Source organism: Homo sapiens, chromosome 7, assembly GCF_000001405.40.
Source record: "Homo sapiens chromosome 7, GRCh38.p14 Primary Assembly".
Lineage (NCBI taxonomy): Eukaryota > Metazoa > Chordata > Mammalia > Primates > Hominidae > Homo > Homo sapiens.
In genome coordinates this window covers 23,746,550-23,767,696 of record NC_000007.14, presented here as the reverse complement: position 1 = coordinate 23,767,696, position 21,147 = coordinate 23,746,550, and the positions used below count along the sequence as shown (strand labels likewise).

Below are 21,147 nucleotides of genomic sequence, written 5' to 3'. Positions count from 1 at the left end.
TTTATGCAAGTACAGCACAAGAACACAGATGAGGCAAAAACTGATAACCAATACAGAAGAGCTGGCCAGCCCCTGACCATTCTCTTTCCTTCACTTCTCCCCTGAATATCTGGCAGCATTTACATCTAAGGGTGGTAGTGCCTGGAAAGGAGCAGTAGCTGAGGCAGAGGGAATAGAGGTTTGCTGAAGAGTAGGACAGACCACCCAGGAGAGAAGCAAAGAGGAAGTAGATAATCCCAGATGGCAACATCAGAAGCTAGACCCTTAAAAATAAAAATAACCCCATTCTATTCCCTAAACCTATCCAAAGTCTTAAAAGTTGTGGTCCAGACTTTCACTCTTCCCTAGGCCCTTCATATAACTACACAACAGCAAAGAACTAAGGTAGCTTATAGTTCCAAGGGAATATGAGATCTTGAGGAGAGATAAGAAGAGGATAAAATGGTGTGAACAGCACAAGCACTCTGAAAGAAGTATAAAAAACTAAGCCACTTTATAAAAAGGAAGCAAAATCAGTGTCAATGGCCCAGATAACAGTAAGAACTCAAAAATAAGCATAATAAATATTCTCAACAAAAGAAAGAATATTGGAAACACAAAAGCCAAGTACTTATAAATAAAAAATAACCAACTGAAGATATTAAATATAAAAGAAATAATCTTTGACATACAAAATGCAATGGATTGGCTAAATGGCAGAAGGGACACAGCTAGAGGATTAATTCATTAGCTACATGGTTAAGTCAAGGATCCCTCCAAAAAGACACCAACAAGATAAAAAGATTGTATTTATTTATTTAGTTTAACCCACCTCCTACATAAGATAAAAAGATTTTAAACAATAGATTAGCCATTAAAATATGTAGATAACAGAAATAGAAGCTGAAATATCTATCAGAAGTCTCAGAATAAGAGAAAAAATTAATGGGGGAGAGAAGTATCTCAATAAATAATTATCAAGTATTACCTACAATTAAAGAAATATATAAAACCTCAGACTGAACTGGCTCAGATTCAGTCAAAACATAAACATGTTCTGATGCAACTTAAGAACAAAGTCAAGAGAAAATTTTAAAACTTCCAGAGGGAAAAAAGATCACAGAAGAACAAAGATTAGACTGATAACAATTATGGAAATAAGAAGGCTGGGCACTTTGGCTCACACCTGTAATCCCAGCACTTTAGGAGGCCAAGAGAGGCGGATCACTCGAGGTCAGAAGTTCGAGACCAGCCCGGCCAACATCGTGAAACCCCATCTCTACTAAAATTAGCCGGGCACAGTGGTGCATGCCTGTAGTCCCAGCTACTCGGGAGGTTGAGGCATGAGAATTGCTTGAACCCAGGAGCCAGAGGTTGCAGTGAGCTGAGATGGCACCACTGCACTCCAGCCTGGGTGAAAGAGCAAGACTCTGTCTCAAATAAATAAAGAAATAAAATGATAGAAATGAAACAATAGATTATTATTGTCAAAGGTGTAAAGGAAACATGGCCTTTGAACTTGCTATTTTATAGTCAGCTAAACAACTATTTGTATTTGAGATTGAAATGAGATATCCTGAAATATCAAATAACTCGCAAAATCAAATACACAAAGATTTCTTTGAAAGCACTCTTAGAGAAAATATTCCAATATACAGAGAAAGCCAAGAGATAAACGACTTATGAAATAAGAATGGAAAAATAACTCTAAAGTCTATTTAACTGAGCTATCACACACAATATCTATAATAACCCGTGACTAAAATCCTAGACAATTGTGGTAGGTTCACTGGTTGGTTTGGGGAAGGAGGTAGAGAAAGAGAGGAAAGACACCAAAGGCAGATAAGAATGTTCTAAAGTATTAGAAGAGTGGCCGGGCACAGTGGCTCACGCCTGTAATCCCAACACTTTGGGAGGCTGAGGCGGGTGGATGACTTGAGGCCAGGAGTTCAAGACTAGCCTGGCCAACATGATGAAACCCCATCTCTATTAAAAACACAAAAATTAGCCAGGCCTGCCTGTAATCCTAGCCACTCATGAGGCTGAGGAAGGAGAATCACTTGAACCCAGGAGGCAGAAGTTGCAGTGAGCCAAGACTGTGCCACTGCACTCCAACCTGGGTAACAGAGTGAGACTCCATCTCAAAAAAAAAAAAAAAAGTATAAGAGGTGTAAGTTAGAAAAAGAGAGAAAAAGAAACGATGATAAACAGAAATAAGTTTTAATAAAACAGTAATTATAAATATGTAAATTAAGTTACCAACAAAAAAGATATACGTTGGGTGCTTTCAAAAATTAAATCCATTAGTGTGTTATCAAGAGGTTATTTCAAAACGTGAATACAAAAGGTTAAAAATAAAGGGAGAAGCCAGGTGCGGTGGCTCACACCTGTAAATCTAGCACTTTGGAGGCCAAGGTGGGTAGACTGCCTGAGCTCAGGAGTTCGAGCCCACCCTGGGCAACATCGTGAAACCCATCTCTACTAAAATACAAAAAATTAGACAGGCATGGTGGTGTGTGCCTGTAATCCCAGCTACTAGGTAGGCTGAGGCAGGAGAATCGCTTGAACCCGGGAGGCAGAGGTTGCAGTGAGCGGAGATCGGCCACTGCACTCCAGCCTAGGCGACAGAGCGAGACTCCATCTCAAGAAAAATAAAAATAAATAAAATAAAAATAGAAAAAAAGAAAAGATGTTGCAGTGTTAACCAAAAAGAAAGGTGGGATACGAACTTAAAAGGCAAACAAAAAAATTTTTATTTTTTAAAATCTAAGTGAAAAAATAAGATTACATAGTAGTTAAAAAGAAAACATTTTTATTATTATTTTTGACTTTTAGTTTAGGTTTGGAGGTACATGTGAAGGTCTGTTACATAGGTAAACATGTGTCATGGGGGGGATACACATTTTTAAATACATTACAATCATGAATACCTTAACACCCAACAATGTGGCGCTGAAATACTTTGAACAAGAACCAAAAGAACAATAGGGACAAATAGGGACAAACCTATCTATTTCAGATATATGTAACAAAAATATCTCAAAGACTGATATACTGAACCAACCAAAACCTAAGCAAGTTTTAGATATATCTAAAACTGTACACCAAGAAAACCGAGAATACAATTTCTTTTTGAACTTAAGAAGACCAGTCACAAAAAATCAAACATGTATTGTATGCCACAAAAGAAGTCTAAATAAAATGCTGAGGAAATCAGAAATCAAGAACTTTCATTTATTTGACCTTCATTATAGAAATATCTTTCTTGGATACTTGAAAAATATAAACTATTTCTCAGCAAAATAAAGAGAAGTTTAAAGAATATTTTGGTGACCTGAGGGAATACTAGAAGTGGAGACAAGCCAGTTAAGGCAAAAAGTCTTCTAGCATTGAACTTTTAAAAGAAAAGAGGTTTAAAGATGATCTTAATTACAGAACCTTAACCTACATTTACTAACAGTGAGAAGAAATAAACCTTTAAGGGACAAAGTAGAAGCTGCATTGTGGAAAGCTAAATTCTTACTATATTACTGCCCTTTTATATGCAAGGCTTACTTCAACATTCTGGAAGAACTTATACTATTTATGCAATTCCAATTAAGAAAATGTTTCAAACCAGGGCTCCAATGGTTCTTAAGCCATGTGGTGCATCATCAAAACTACATCTTCATCCAGCAGGACAGAAAGAAACAATGCCCAGATGTCCCTGAATATCTTCTTCTCCAAATTTCTAGCAAGCTTACTCCCTGCAGTCCACAACAAGATCGATATTAGCTACTGGTCAGCTTAGTACTAGGGTAACTGACCAAAGCAGTAAAAATTCAAAGATACATAAAAGGTAAAAGGACTAGAAGAGAAAAGATTAAAGAGTTATTGTTTTCAAATGAAAACACTTGAAAATGAAATGAAAACATTTGAAAATGAAAACATTTCAAATGAAAACATTAGAAAATGAAAACATTTCAAATGAAAACATTTGAAAACACAGAAAGCAGAGTATCAACAGACAAATGAGAACTAAAAGAGAGATCAGCAGAGTTATCAGAGAAACACCAGTACATAAAAATGAACAGTATTCCTCTATTCAATCAAAACTAGGAAATGACAAGATAATATTCATAAAAGCAATCAAAAGCATAAATAAATAAAAGTTAAATGAAGAAAAAAGCATGAGGACTTATAGAGAAAAATTTTAAACAATATTAAAGGACAAAAAAAGATCTGAATAAGTAGAGAGAAACACTATTATTAGGTGAAATTACTTAACACTGTCATGTTCATTCACCCCGAATTAAAGTCATTCCTGAGCTGGCAAGACAGAGCTGAAGACAAGATTCCACCATATCATATAGCTATATGTACTACAGTACTCTAGCCTCTGATCACATCAGGGAGAAACTTCCCTGGTCATGGAGCCTAAAAACCCTATAATTTATGGATCAGAGTTGATCCCTTCTCCCTGTAACATGTGGTCCTACTACATTTTCTGCTAGAATGCAATGGACGATAGGGACCCACATACCTGCTACTGCTCCTGTCTCCATTAATTTCCCCAGTGAATACTGGAGTCCCTAGCCATTTTACCTTGTTTGCAAGATAGATATGCATATAAACATAGCCACAAAATATATTAATATAAACTTTTAATCCCATTAAAAAGAAATCAGAATTCAGGAAACAGGAAAAACTTTTGCAACCATCACAGAACAATCTAAAGTCTTAAGGTAAATGCTAATTTCACTTCTTAAATAAACTTACAATTTAACGTATATTTAATATATTTTTAATTCCAACCTGCAATGTTTTTAAGCGTTTATTAAGAGATGACTCATCAACTTCCAGAATAAAATCTTCTACTGACATGTACAGCTTCTGCTGCATTTCATTTCTTTGGGCAATCAAAATATTCCCTTCACTCTGGAGGAAGAAAAAAAGAATAACCATCATTAATACATCAGGTCTTTTCCGCATATGACCTATATGAAAAAAAGTGATCTCCAAAATTAACTTTATATTCTCCAAACATTATAGCACTTAGGACATTTCTCTCCTTAGATCAACAAAATGACAAAAAAACTTCCTTTCTCTTAATTAAAAATAAAACATTTAAGTTCAACAACTCTGATCTAATTTTTATTTTTCCCATTATTTCTGCAACAATGAAATTTTTGTTTTTCTTACAGAAAATTATATAAGTTCCTACTAATTACATATGGCCTCTTTTCTATTCCCATCCCATTCTCAACTCCTTCAGCTACTCATCCTTCAAGATACACTTAAACACCAGGATAAACCCTCCAATTTGTCCAACAGGCTGTGTTTGGAAATACATATGTGAAAGATATCCAAGAACTCTATGCATTTTCTTTATTATAGCACTTACCATACTGTATTAAAACTATATATTAATATATCCATCCTGTACCCAAGAAAGAAAGAAAGGATATGTCTTTTAAAAATTTTTATCTCGGGGTGGAGGGAGGGGGGAGGGATAGCATTAGGAGATATACCTAATGCTAAATGACGAGTTAATGGGTGCAGCACAGCAGCATGGCACATGTATACATATGTAACTAACCTGCACATTGTGCACATGTACCCTAAAAGTAAAATAATAATAAAATGAAATAAAATAAAAAAGTTTTAATCTCTATTACCTATAACAGTGTCTGGCACATACACTTAAAAGCCTGAATTTTAGGATATTTTTTCTTGCATAAGCTCAACCAGATTATTTTAAAACTATAAATAAAACTATAAAATGTATTATAAAACTATAAAACTATAAAAGCCTGAATTTTAGGATATTTTTTCTTGCATAAGCTCAACCAGATTATTTTAAAACTATAAATAAAACTATAAAATACATTATAAAACTATAAAACTATAAAAGCCTGAATTTTAGGATATTTTTTCTTGCATAAGCTCAACCAGATTATTTTAAAACTATAAATAAAAAAGAAAAGACCTCAAGTAAAGCCTACTGTTTTCATCATTAAAAAAAAAAAACATCTGGGCACGGTGGCCCACGCCTGTAATCCCAGCACTTTGGGAGGCCGAGGCAGGCGGATCATGAGGTCAGGAGATCGAGACCATGGTGAAACCCCATCTCTACTAAAAATACAAAAAATTAGCTGGGCAGAGTGGCAGGCGCCTGTAGTCCCAGCAACTCGGGAGGCTGAGGCAGCAGAATGGCACGAACCCGGAAGGCAGAACTTGCAGTGAGCCGAGATCACACCACTGCACTCCGGCCTGGGCGACAGAGCGAGACTCCGTCTCAAAAAAAAAAAAAAAGCATATGGCCACATGGCAATCAAGTTAAAGAACTATGCAAAATACTTGAATAAAAGTTATCAATTCTAAACCAAAATAAGTACAATAAGGGAAATAAAATGACGATTTCATTTGAGTGGCTATTATGATTATATATTTAGCCAATAATCTACACTTCCATCTATCAAGTAAACTTTAAGTCCGGAAACACAAGCAGTAGTAGAAAAAAAAAATTCTGCTTTCAAAAAAAGTCACATCTGTACTCATAGGATAGTAAGTGCTAAAGCTCCATCCTGAATACTTTCACTATGCTCAAACCACAAAAACAAATAAGGCAGGTTTTTTTACATCTTTTCATCTTACATGAAAATACATTAAGAAGTATTTTAATATCAATAGTGTGGTTTCAATGGAAAAACAATAGGCTTTGCTGTCAGACATGTCTGGGTTCAAGTTCCATATTAACATTTAGAACTAGGGTACGGGCATGGTAGCTAACACTTGCAATCCCAGGACTTTGGGAGGCCAAGGCAGGAGGATTACTTGAGCCAAGGAGTTCAAAACCTGTCTGGACAACATGGTAAAACCCCGTCACTATAAAAAGTACAAAAAAATTAGCCAGGCATGGTTGGTAGTACACCGCCTGTAGTCCTAGCTACTTGGGAAGCTGAAGTGGAGAATCTCTTGTGCCCTGGAGGTTGAGGCTGCAGTGAGCTGTGATCGTGCCACTGCACTCCAGCCTGGGTGACAGAGTGAGACCATACCTCAAAAAAAAGAGTAATTTTTTAATTTTAAAAAATTACAACTAGGTAATCTTGAACAATTTCCTTACCCTTGTAAGCCTGTTTCCTCACTTATAAAATGGGAGCAAATATGCCCATTTTAAAAGTTAATGTAAGAAAATGTTTATAAACACACTGCCTGTGTTTCATAGAAATTAAAAAATTAATCATTCTGCTGTCATCTTCTTTCTCCCATAATCAGAAGTGATCAGTTAGAATCTAATACGTAAAATAACCAAAATCAAATCCCTTCTCCAAACTAAACATTCCTGGCATTTTCAAAAGCCTAGTTATCCTGCTCATACTTCTCATTCAGAGGCAGTCAGGCTGCCAACTGATCAACCTAGGTATGACTAGGGAGTAAGATTTACAGGGTATAATCCACAGAGGCAGAAACCACAAATATTTAAGATGGAACAAGTCCAAACACAACAAGTATAGAGCTCACAGGTGCTAGGGAAAGTTATGGTGGTTGTAGGGAATGGTTTACAAGAAAAACAGGAAGTTCTGTTCAGCCCAATACAATAAATTAAAGAAAACTGCAACAGGAAATAAATATACTTGTACCTAAGCTAATAAAGAATTTATGTAAAATATTTCATTTTCACACCCCTACTCACACACACAAACAACTACCTCCCAACAATAGGTGACTCAGACACTAATTAATAGTAAGGCAGAGTCTTACATGCATAAAACACACCACTCAGACCAGAAAAGTTCCACATTAGCATGTATGAAAGCCACTCTGGTTTACAAGCCTAATGTCCCTCAAAAGCCAGTATCTCTTGTAACAACTCCATAGGTATAGCTTCCAGGGTCCCTCAAGGGGCATGTTTAGTTACAAGAGTCCACATCAAGTATTTGTAGTTTGTAGTTTCTCCCAGTACAGATGCAGTTTGACAATCATAAGTTATACTTACCATAAATAATGTTGCCTAGTAACACAGTTGAAATATTTTATCACATTACCAAGGGAACAAAGAGAGGGAGTTAACCAAAGGTAAAGTTTTCATGCAAAAAGGGAAAAGATTTTGCTACCCCTTATCCACAATCACCAGTTGTCTATTACACCTTTCTTATAAGGCAATAAATGAAGGAAATTATTAATATGAAGATACTGTAAAAGTTAAAGGTTTTACACAAACTATCATTACAATATCTCCAGTTCCTTGTCTTTCTAGAAAGATAACATTTCCTGAGTTCTAATTTGATTACACTGTGATCTGAGAGACTGTTTGTTATGATTTCAGTTCTTTTGCATTTGCTGAAGAGTGTTTTACTTCCAATTATGTGGTCAATTTTAGAATAAGTGCCATGTGGCACTGAGAAGAATGTATATTCAGTTGATTTGGGGTAGAGAGTTCTGCAGACGTCTATCAGGTCCACTTGATAGAGAGCTAAGTTCAAGTCCTGAATATCCTTGTTAATTTTCTGTCTCGTTGATCTAATACTGACAGTGGGGTGTTAAAGTCTCCCATTATTATTGTGTGGGAATCTAAGTCTCTTTGTAGGTCTCTAAGAACTTGTTTTATGAATCTGGGTGCTCCTTGGGTGCATATATATTCAGAATAGTCACCTCTTCTTGTTGAACTGTTTCCTTTACCATTACGTAATGCCTTTGTCTTTTTTTATCTTTGTTGATTTAAAGTCTGTTTTATCAGAGACTAGGACTGCAACCTCTGCTTTCTTTTGCTTTCTATTTGTTTGGTAAATTTCCCTCCATCCCTTTCTTTTGAGCCTGTATGTGTTTTTGTGCGGAAGATGGGTCTCCTGAATACAGCACACAGATGAGTCTTGACCACTTAGCTAATTTGCCAGTCTGTGTCTTTTAATTGGGGCATTTGGCCCATTTACATTTAAGGTTAGTATTGCTCACTCAAAACCACACAATGTCATGGAAACTGAACAACTTGCTCCTGAATGGCTCCAGGGTAAATAATGAAATTAAGGCAGAAATCAAGAAGTGCTTTGAAACCAATGAGAACAAAGAGACAATGTACCAGAATCTCCAGGACACAGATAAAGTAGTGTTAAGAGAGGAATTTATAGCACTAAATACCCACATCAGAAAGCTAGAAAGATCTCATATCAACACCTTAACATCACAATTAAAAGAACTAGAAAGGCAAGAGCAAATGAACCCAAAAGCTAGCAGAAGACAAGAAATAAGATCAGAGAAGAATTGAAGGAGACAGAGACACACACACACAAAAAAAACACTCCAAAAAAAAATCAATGAATCTAGGGTCTGTTTTTTAAAAAAAGTAACAAAACAGACCACTAGCTAGACTAAGAAGAAGAGAGAGAAGAATCAAATAGACTCAACAAAAAATGTTAAAGGGGTATCACCACTGACCCCACAAAAATACCAACTACCATCACAGAATACTATAAACACCTCTACACAAATAAACTAGAAAATCTAGAAGAAATGAATAAACTCTTGGATGCCTACACCCTACCAAGACTAAACCAGGTAGTGTGGGGAAAAGAAAGGCAGATCAGACTGTTACTGTGTCAATGCAGAAAGAAGTAGACGTAAGAGACTCCATTTTGTTCTGTATTAAGAAAAATTATTCTGCCTTGAGATGCTGTTAATCTGCAACCCTACCCCCAACCCTGTGCTCCCTACGACATGTGCTGTGTCGACTCAAGGTTTCATGGATTTAGGGCTATGCAGGATGTGCTTTGTTAAACAAATGCTTGAAGGCAGTATGCTTGTTAAAAATCATCACCACTCCCTAATCTCAAGTACCCACGGACACAAAACACTGCAGAAGGCCGCAGGGACCTCTGCCTAGGAAAGCCAGGTCTTGTCCAAGGTTTCTCCCCATGTGACAGTCTGAAATACGGCTTCGTGGGAAGGGAAAGACCTGACCGTCCCCCAGCCCGACACCCATAAAGGGTCTGTGCTGAGGAGGATTAGTAAAAGAGGAAGGCCTCTTTGCAGTTGAGATAAGAGGAAGGCATCTGTCTCCTGCTCATCCCTGGGCAATGGAATGTCTCGGTGTAAAACCCGATTGTATGTTCTATCTACTGAGACAGGAGAAAACCACCTTAAGGCTGGAGGTGAGACATGCTGACGGCAATACTACTCTTTAATGCACCAGATATGTTTATGTATGTGCACATCAAAGCACAGCACATTTTCTAACCTTGTTTATGACACAGAGACATTTGTTCACATGTTTTCCTGCTGACTCTCTCCCCACTATTACCCTATTGTCCTGCCACATCCCCCTCTCCGAGATGGTAGAGATAATGATCAATAAATACTGAGGGAACTCAGAGACCTTTGCCGGCGGGCGCGGGTCCTCCACATGCTGAGCGCCGGTCCCTTGGGCCCACTTTTCTTTCTCTATACTTTGTCTCTGTGTCTCTTTCTTTTCTCAAGTCTCTCGTTCCACCTGACGAGAAACGCCCACAGGTGTGCAGGGGCTGGCCACCCCTTCTGGAAGAAGCTGAATCCCTGAATAGACCAATAACAAAAACTCTGAAATTGAGGTAGTAATTAACAGCCTACCGACCAAAAAAAGCCCAGGACCAGACAGATTCACAGCCGAATTCTACCAGAAATACAAAGAACAGCTGATACCATTCCTTTTGAAACTATTCCCAACAACTGAAAAGGACGGACTCCTCCCTAACTCATTTTATGAAGCCAGCATTATCCTGATACCCAAACCGGGAAAAGACACAACAAAAAAAGAAAACTTCAGGCCAATATCCCTGATGAACATCGATGCGAAAATCCTCAATAAAATACTGACAAACCGAATCCCGCAGCACATCAAAAAACTTACCCACCACGATCAAGTCCACTTCATCCCTGGGACGCAAGGCTGGTTCAACATACGCAAATCAATAAACGTAATCCATCACATAAACAGAACCAATGACAAAAACCACGTGACTATCTCAATAGATGCAGAAAGGGCTTCGATAAAATTCAACATGCCTTCATGTTAAAAACTCTCAGTAAACTAAGTATTGACGGAACATATCTCAAAATAGTAACAGTTATTTATGACAAACCCACAGCCTCAAATTGAATGGGCAAATGCTGGAAGCATTCCCTTTGAAAACTGGTACAAGACAACGATTCCCTCTCTCACCACTCCTATTCACCACAGTATTGGAAGTTCTCGACAGGGCAATCAGGCAAGAGAAAGAAATAAAGGGTATTCAAATAGGAAGAGAGGAAGACAAGTTGTCTGTTTGCAGACGACATGATTTTATATTTAGAAATCCCCATCGTCTCACCCCAAAAACGTCTTGAACTGATAGGCAACTGCAGCAAAGTCTCAGGATACAAAATAAATGTGCAAAAATCACAAGCATTCCTACACACCAACAAGAGGCAAGCAAAGAGCCAAATCATGAATGAACTCCCATTCACAATTGCTACAAACAGAATAAAATACCTAGGAATACAGCTAATAAGGGATGTGAAGGACCTCTTCAAGAAGAACTACAAACCACTGCTCAAGGAAATAAGAGAGGACACAAACAAATGGAAAAATATTCCATCCTCATGGATAGGAAGACTCAATATCATGAAAATGGCTATACTGGCCAAAAAATTTTATAGAACCAATGCTATTCCCATCAAGCTACCATTGACATTCTTCACAGAATTAGAAAAAACTATTTTAAATTTCATATGGATTCAAAGAAGACCCCATATAGCCAAGATAATCCTAAGCAAAAGGAACAATGCTGGAGGCATGATGCTACCTGACTTCAAACTATACTACAAGGCTACAGTAACCAAAACAGCATGCTACTGGTACCAAAACAGACATATAGACCAATGGAGCAGAACAGAAACCTCAGAAATAACATCACACATCTAAAACCATCTGATCTTCGACAAACCTGACAAAAACAAGCAATTGGGAAAGCATCTCCTATTCAGTAAATGGTGCTGGGAAAACTAGACATATGCAGAAAACTGAAACTGAACCCCTTCCTTACACTTTACACAAAAATTAACTCTAGATGGATTAAAGACTTAAATGTAAAACCTAAAACTATAAAAACCCTAGAAGAAAACCCAGGCAATAGCGTTCAGGACATAGGCATGGGCAAAGACTTCTTGACAAAAACAACAAAAGCAAATGCAACAAAAGTCAAAATTGACAAATGGGATCTAATTAAACTAAAGAGCTTCTGCACAGCAAAAGAAACTATCATCACAGTGAACAGGCAACCTGTTCTCCTGAACAGAAGAAAATTTTTGCAATCTACCCATCTGACAAAGATCTAATATCCAGAATCTACAAAGAACTTAAACATATTTACAGGAAAAAGACAACCCCATCAAAAAGTGGGCAAAGGATATGAAGAGGCACTTCTCAAAAGAAGACATTTATGTGGCCAACAAACATATGAAAAAAAGCTCAACATCACTAATCATCAGAGAAATGCAAATCAAAACCACAAGAAGATACCATCTCATACCAGTTAGAATGACGATCATTAAAGTCAGGAAACAATAGATGCTGGAGAGGATGTGGAGAAACAGGAACACTTTCACAGTGTTGGTGGGAACGTAAATTAGTTCAACCATTGTGGAAGACGATATGGCGATTCCTCAAGGATCTAGAACCAGAAATACCATTTGACCCAGCAATATCATTACTGGGTATATACCCAAAGGAATATAGATCATTCTACTATAAAGACACATGCACACGTATGTTTACTGCAGCACTGTTCACAATGGCAAAGACTTGGAACCAACCCAAATGCCCATCAACGATAGACTGGATAAAGAAAATGTGGTACATATACACCATGGAATACTATGCAGCCATAAAAAGGAACGAGTTTATGTCCTTTGCAACGACATGGATGAAGCTGGAAGCCATCATCTTCGGCAAACTAACACAAGAATAGAAAACCAAACACTACATGTTCTCACTCGTAAGTGGGAGTTGAACATTGAGAACACATGGACACAGGGAGGGAAACAATACACACCAGGGCTCGTTAGGAAATGGGGGGGTGAGGGAGGGAATTTAGAGGACAGGTGCAGCAAACTACCACGGCGCATGTATACCTATGTAACAAATCTGCACATTCTGCACATGTATCCTGTTATTTTTTTTAGAAGAAATTAAAAAAACACTTCCTTATGTTCAACAGATAAAAACCACAATAGAGAAAAATTCCCAACTCACCACATATTCACAAGTTTTAATATTCTCCTGAGCCAGACTGTATTCTGCCCATATTATCTCTAATCCATTCAAAGAAGCTGGAGTAGTAAAGCACCCTTCATCCAACACTTGTATAGCATCTGAAAGGTCTTTTCCGAAACGGACACTGATGTCGACATGCCTATTTTTAAAAACATCAAAAAGAAGAAGATCAATAAATTAGAAAGCTGGTGTGAGAAAAAGTTACACTTTAATAGTAATGGTCTAAAAGTTAGTGTTTACAGCACTGGCTTTGAAGGGGTACCTTTTAAAACTTTATATAAAATCATGTATAACTTATTTTTTTCAGTCCACATATTTTTATGCAGACATGCATAATTTAATATAAACTTTTAATTAAAAAACAACTGTGGATATACTAATTTCATGACATAAAAAATATGAAAAAATTAAAAATTTTTTAAACTATAAAAAAGGCAACTTCGAAAGTCTGCAGAATTTGAAATGGTATCAAATGAACCTTCAATTTTTGGTCTACAGATAATTTACAATGTCTAAGAGAAAAGACATATAAGAAACCCATAGTATCATAGGCTAATTGATCTAAACAAGAGTTAAGTTCCTATGGCATATTTTTAGTCACAAAAACAGCACTTCCAAATAAAGACCCAAAACATTTCTAATATTAAACACTAAAATATACGTGTCCTATACACACATTTAAGAAAAAGCAATAAAAACAACAAAGATAATTATTTACCCAAACTTTGGTGAATGAGTGGGTGACAGTAGGGTTAAATCAAGGAATAAATGTTTGCAAGCGAAAATTCTAAGAAGCGCCCCCTACCACCACAGGTTCAAAAACAAACAATAACAAACGTAGTGGGCTTGCTGAATGCTTTCATGTCACATCGCTTATTGCAAAGGCATCTGTATGATTCTTGCATACTTCACAAATTTTTATTTTATGATAATCTGTATATACTCATTCACTCATTCATTTTCCAACCCGCTTATTCCAATCCAGGGGTTGCAGGTGGCCACATCTATCTCAGCAGCTCAGAGCATTAAGGTAGGAACCAATCCTGGACATGACACCCTTGCATTGCAGGGCACACTCACCCTCATCCACACACTCACTCATACTGGGACAATACAGACACACCAATTCACCTAAGTGGGATGTGAGAGGAAACCACAGTATTCCAAGAAAACCACCCAAATATGGAGAGAATGTGCAAACTCCACACAGACAGTGGGGCTCCAGCTAGGAATTGATTTTCTTCTTCAATGTTATAATGAAATAATGTTGAATGAAAACACGTTATTCAAGGACATGCTGTACTCCTGAAAATAACCCCAAGCAAAATAACTGGATATGGTAGTTTCCCATCAAACTATCACTTAAAAGCTATGTTGCTGTTTTTTCAATTTCAGTCTCAGTTATAACCTTAGAACACTCTAGCTCCAAGCAGTGACAGTAGAAACCTGACAAAAACAGTATAAAATTCATCTCAGAAATAACTATCTTTCTCTCTTTGAAGTCATAAAAATACAAAGGTTAAATTTTAAAGCAAAAATGGCAAGCACACAATTTAAACAAAGCACCAATTGATTAAAAATTAGTTTAAAATATCCTTCTGAAAAATATGCTTTTACCTACCTCATTTCTTTCAGTATTTCCATCTTAGCTGCCAGATTTTTCATTCTGGTATCTATATAGGTCTTCAGAGTGTATTCTAAGTGGTTAGTCAAATCCACAGCAGCTGCCTTCTCTTGCTGAAACAAAGAATAAACACATTCTCGTGAGACCCAAATAGGAAACTGTATTTCTGCTATAATTTAAATAATTTTTGGCTGGGCACAGTGGCTCATGCCTGTAATTCCAACACTTTGGGAGGCCAAGGAGGACAGATGGTTTGAGCTCAGAAGTTTGAGACCAGCCTGGACAATGTGGCAAAACCCCGTCTCTACGAAAAAATACATGGGTGTGGTGGTGCATGCCTGTAGCTTAGCTACTTAGGAGGCTAAGGTGAGAGGATGGCTTGAGTTAGGGAGGCAGAGGTTGCAGCGAGGCGAGATTGTGCCACAGCACTCCAGCCTGGGCAACAAAGCCAGACTCTGTCTCAAAAAAAAAAAAAAAAATTCCAAATTTGAATAAAATATAATAGAATCTAGCTGCTGATTTTTATTTCAAATTAATATTTATTTTTAACTGCTTCAATTAAATAAAGAATGAAGGCTTCAATGATTCTAAACAAACTATACATTATCACTCCTGGCACAGCTTTTTGGAATTTATTCATTCATCATCTTTTTTTGGTGCTATGTCTTTTTTTAAATTGTGGTAAAATATACATAACATAAAATTTATCATTTTAACCATTTTAAAATGTATAGTTCTGTTGCATTAGGTACATTCATATTGTTGTGCAATCATCAGCACCATCCATCTCCAGAACTTTTTCATCTTTCCTAATTAAAACTCTATCTCTCAAACACTACTCCCTATCTCCCCTCCCCCTCCCCCAAGCCCCCAGAAACCACCATTCAACTTTGGGTCCCTACAGATTTGACTGCTCTAGGAACTTCGAATAAAAATACTATATGCAAATATGCCTGTATTAATGTCAAGCAACAACTCCCTTTGGCACAGGGAGTATTTTCTAAGCAATAAAGAGAGACATTTCATAAAGATAAATGGGTCAATTCATCAAAAAGATCCAACAATTCTAAATGTATATTTGCATAATAATAGAACTTTTTTTAAAAAAATCACAAAATCTAATAGAACAAAAGGGAATAAAACAGACAAAACTACAATAATATTTAGATTTCAGTACTTCTCTCTCAGTAGTTGATTGAATAAGTAGAGAAAGAATCTGTCAGGGTCTAAAAGACTTGAAGTCCACTATCAACCAATTCAGCCTAATATTTATAAAACACTTCACCCAACAGCTATAGGATACACATAACTTTTAAAAATGCATGAAACATTTCCAGGCAGACCATATGCTGGGTAATGAAACAAATGTCAATCAACTTAAAAGGACTGAAACCATTCAGAGTATGCTCTCTGATACCAATAAAATTAAATTAGAAATCAGTAACAAAATATATTGCAGGAACCACTGAGTATTTATCCAAAAGAAAGGAATTAACATGCACTCCTAAGTTTACTGCAGCACTATCACAACATCAAAGACATGGAATCAACCTAAGTGTCCATCAGTGGATCAAGAAAATGCAGTATATACAATGGGATACTATTCAGCCATAAAAAAAGAATGAAATCCTGTCATTTGCAGCAACATGGATGGAACTGGATGTCATTCTATTAAGTGAAATAAGCCAGGCACAGAAAGAAAATATTTTACATTCTTGTTAATATGTAGGAGCTAAAAAAAGTTGATCTCATGGAGGTAGAGAGTGGAATGATAGATACCAGAGGCTAGGAAGGATGTGGTAGGGATAGAAGAATAAAGAAAGTTTGGTTAATAAGTACAAACACGCAGTTAGATAGAAGGGATAAGTTCTAATGTTTGATAGCAGATGACTACAGTTAATGATGTATTGTATATTTCAAAATAGCTAGAAGAGAGGTCTTGAAATGTTCCCAACACACAGAAATGATAAATCCTTGAGGTGATCGATATCCTAAATACCTACACTTGATCATTACACATTCTAGGCATATGACAAAATATCACACATACACCAGTAAACATATACAAATACTATGTACCAAGAAAAAAATAAAATGTATATTGGGGAAATCTTCAAATTTGTGGAAATTAAGCAACATGCTTCTAAGTAGCTCATGGTTCAAACTAGGATTCACGAGGAAATGTTGTAAATATGCTTCACTAAATAATAAACAAAACATATCAAAATTTGTGGTTTGTAAATAAAGCAATGCTTAGAAAGAAATCTTTATCTCTAAAAGTATATTACAAAAGAACAAAAGATTTAAAACAATAATATGGGGACTTCAGGTTTTGGTTTCACATGTAAGGAGCCTGGAAGTCACTATGCCATCCTAACACATATTAAAAAGCTGAACAAAGTGGAAATCAACAACTTTTCTCAGATCTGTAAGAAAAGGTGAGATAGGTAGGGTCACTGGGAAAACTGCTACTCCTAAAATTAAACAGACAGACAGGGATACAGAGAATCACAACATACTGGAACAGAAATTTCTACAGGAAGCAGTGCCTAGATAGGAAAACCTGGACTGCTGACAAACTGCTGGAAACTAGGTGTGGGCACGACTGAGAGTTGAAAGCTCCAGGGGCATCCAGTCATGGGGGCCCCCATGCTTTTGTGAATTTTACCTCCAGGAGCTAGATCAGGTTCTCACAGTAAATACAGTATCATACATATCATCGCAGTAAAATCCCCTCATGTTTCCAGCAGTGGCGGGGGGGGAAACAAACCATTCTGAAATATCCCAGAGCACTCTGTACTTCTTAATAAGATCTACCCTGAAAAGAAACCAGTTAAGCAGAGCCTAACCTGCTGAGGTTTCATCAAAGCCTAACTGACCTGGGGGATGGAAATATCCAACTCCAGCCAGCTCTATCCTTCCACATGGGAGGAGGTAAATACCCAATTCCATCCTACTCTAGCCATCCTATCCCACCTAAAGGGGGAGGAAAAAATTGAGAAATGCTTGTGAATTCATGGGCCAGAGACATAGACTCACAAAAAGACTGAGACCTAATCACAGGACTATACAACACATCACTCCCGCGTACATCTTACAATTACATTATTAAAGACATATTTAAACCAATTGCTTTTTTACCTGATATATCATATACAGTTATCAAGAAAAAATTACAGCTAGGCACAGTGGCTAATGCCTATAATTCCAGCACTTTGGGAGGCTGAAGTGGGTCAACTGCTTGAGCCCAGGAGTTCAAGACCAGCCTGGGCAACAAGACAAAATGGTCTCTACCCCCAAAAAAAAAAAAAAAGCAAAAATTAGCCAGGCATGGTGGTGCACACCTGTAGTCCCAGTTACTCAGGAGGCTGAGGTGGGAGGATCACTTGAGTCCGGGAGGTGGAGGTTGCAGTGAGCCAAGATCACGCCACTGCATTCCAGACTAGACAACAGGGCAAGACCCTGTCTCAAAAAAAAAAAAAAAACAAGAAAAGAAAAGAAAAGAAAAAATTACAAGGCATACTCTAGGGCAAAAACTACAGTTTGAAGAAAGAAAACATTCAGAACCAGATGTAGACGGGATGTTGGAATTATCAGACAATGAATTTAAAACAATTATGATTAATATGCTACGCATCATAATGGAGAAAGTAGATAGCATGTAGTAACAACAGACGGGCAATGTAAGCAAAGAGATGGAAATCCTAAGAATGAACCAAAAAGAAATGTTAGATATCAAAACACTGTAACGGAAATCAAAAATGACTTCAACATCCCTCTATCAGAGGTGGACAGATCTAGCATGGAAAAATCAGTAAAGATACATTTGAACTCAACACCAATAAATTGGATATAATTAACATCTATAGTGTACAGTTGATAATTAACATCTACAGACTACAGCTGACTCTTGAACAAAGCAAGTGTTAGGGGTGCCAACCCCCAACAGTCTTGAAAATTTATGTATAACTTTAGATTCCACAGAAAGCTAATTACTAATAGCCTACTGTTGACCAGAAGCTTTATTGATAAGACAAGCCATCAGTTAGCAAGTATTCTGTATGTTATATGTATTATATACTGTATTCTCACAGTAAAGTAAGCCAAAAAAAAGAAAATGTTATTAGGAAAAGCATAAAGAGAAGATATATTTACTATTCATTAAATGGAAGTGGATCATCATTAAGGTCTTCATCCTCCCTCATCTTCACATTGAGCAGGCTGAGGACAGGGAGGAAGAGGAGAGGTTGGTATTCCTATCTCACCGATGGCAGAGAGGGAAGAAGTGGAAGGGGAGGCTGGAGAGGCAGGCATAACTGATGTAACTTTTATTTAAAATATCCACATATAAGTGGACCCATGTAGTTCAAACTCATGTTCAAGGGTGAACTATGCTTCATCCAATAACAGCAGAATATACATTCCTGTCAAGATCACATGGAAGATTCACCAAAATACGCCACCACATTCTGGGCCATAAAACACACCTTAACAGAGTTAAAAGAATAGAAACCGTACAATGTCTGCTCTCAGGCCACAGTAGAATAAGCTAAAAATCAATAACAGAAAGATAATTGAAAAAAATCTCAAAACATGTAAGGATTAACCAACATTACTAATAACACATGAGTCAAAGAAGAAATCTCATGACAAATTTAAAAATACTTTCAAGATAAAAATACAACTTACCAAAATTTGTAGAACGCAGCACAGGCAGTGCATTGACAAAAATTTACAGCATTGAAATGCGTATATATTAGAAGTGAAAAGAAACTAATATTAATAATCTAAGTTTGCTTCTTAGGAAATTAAATCTCCTTTAGCAAATTAAATCTTAATATGCAAAAATAGGAAAGTATAAATCAATCAATTTGAAAACAGGAAATCAGGAGAGAAAAACCAGCAAAACCAAAAGTTGATACTTTGAAAAGATGAATAAAATTGGTAACACTATAACCAGGCTAATAAAGGAAAAAAAGACAGAGGACACAAATTGCCAGTATCAGAAATGAAAGAGAGGGCATCAGTACAGATCCAATGGAAATTAAAACTTAAAAATATTATGAACAACTCAAGTCCCACAAATTTGATAACCTAGATTAAATGAACTAATTCTTTGAAAGACGTAATCTGCCAAAGCTCACACAAAAATAATCTGAACAGGCCGGGCATGGTGGCTCACACCTGTAATCCCAGCACTTTGGGAGGCCGAGGCGGGTGGATCACGAGGTCAGGAGATTGAGACCATCCTGGCTAACATAGTGAAACCCCGTCTCTACTAAAAATACAAAAATTAGCCGGGCATGGTGGCGGGCGCCTGTAGTCCCAGCTGCTTGGGAGGCTGAGGCAGGAGAATGGCGTGAACCCAGGAGGTGGGGCTTGCAGTGAGCAGACATCGCGCCACTGCACTCCAGCCTGGGCAACAGAGTGAGACTCCGTCTCCAAAAAAATAAAAATAAAAAAATAATCTGAACAGACTTATTTCTATTTTTAAAATTGAATCAACCATTAATAACCTTCCAAAACAGAAAATGTCAGGCCTATATAAGTTCACTGGTAAATTCTACCAAACATTTAAGGAAAAAACTATACCAATTCTCAGTCATTGAATAGAAGCAGAGGAAATACTTCCAAACTCATTCCATGAGGCCAGCATCACCCTAATACTGAAATCAGAAAACAACATTACACAAAAAGAAAGCCACAAACCAATATATGTCACGAACATATATGTAAAAACCCTCCAAAAAATTAGAAAACTGAATCCAACAATGTATGAAAAGAAACATAGTTGATGCCTGAACAACACAGGTTTGAACTGCACAGATCCACTTACAAACAGATTTTTCTCAAAAAGTTACACAAGGTGTGCCTGCCTGGTACACCTTGTATAACTTATTGAGAAAAAAAAGTAAAAAGTTTAATTTATTTTAAAATAATTTTAACTTATTTTTAAATAAGTTAGTAAGTTAAATAATTTTAACTTATTTTAAAATTAAATAATATTAAGTTAAAATTATTTAACTTATTTATCCCTCCACCTCTTCCATCTCTGTCACCTGTGAGACAAGACCAACCCATGCTCTTCCTCCTCAGCCTACTCAACATGAAGACAATGAGGATTAAGACTTAATAAAACGTAAATACATTTCTTCTTCCTTATGATTTTCTTAATAATATTTTCCCTTCTCTAGATTACTTAATTGTAAAGATACAGTATACAATAAATATAACACACAAAAACGTGTTTGTTAGATTACATTATTTCAGACAGGGGCTT

At 36.7% G+C, this 21,147-nt stretch overlaps 1 protein-coding gene across 9 annotated transcripts in view; it reads right to left on the bottom strand.

The window, feature by feature from the left end:
• STK31 (serine/threonine kinase 31) overlaps positions 1-21,147 on the bottom strand; it is a 122,432-nt gene that overhangs the window by 64,817 nt on the left and 36,468 nt on the right. For all 9 annotated transcript variants that reach the window (NR_048542.2, XM_011515452.4, XM_011515449.4 and 6 more), the window contains 3 exons: positions 14,865-14,980; positions 13,223-13,382; positions 4,774-4,896 (listed from right to left, as the gene is read on the bottom strand). Coding sequence is in view for 8 of the 9 variants with exons in the window: in XM_011515452.4 (XP_011513754.2) it covers positions 4,774-4,896; positions 13,223-13,382; positions 14,865-14,980 (399 nt within the window). In the remaining variant the exon portion in view is untranslated. The remainder of the gene's footprint in view (positions 1-4,773; positions 4,897-13,222; positions 13,383-14,864; positions 14,981-21,147) is intronic.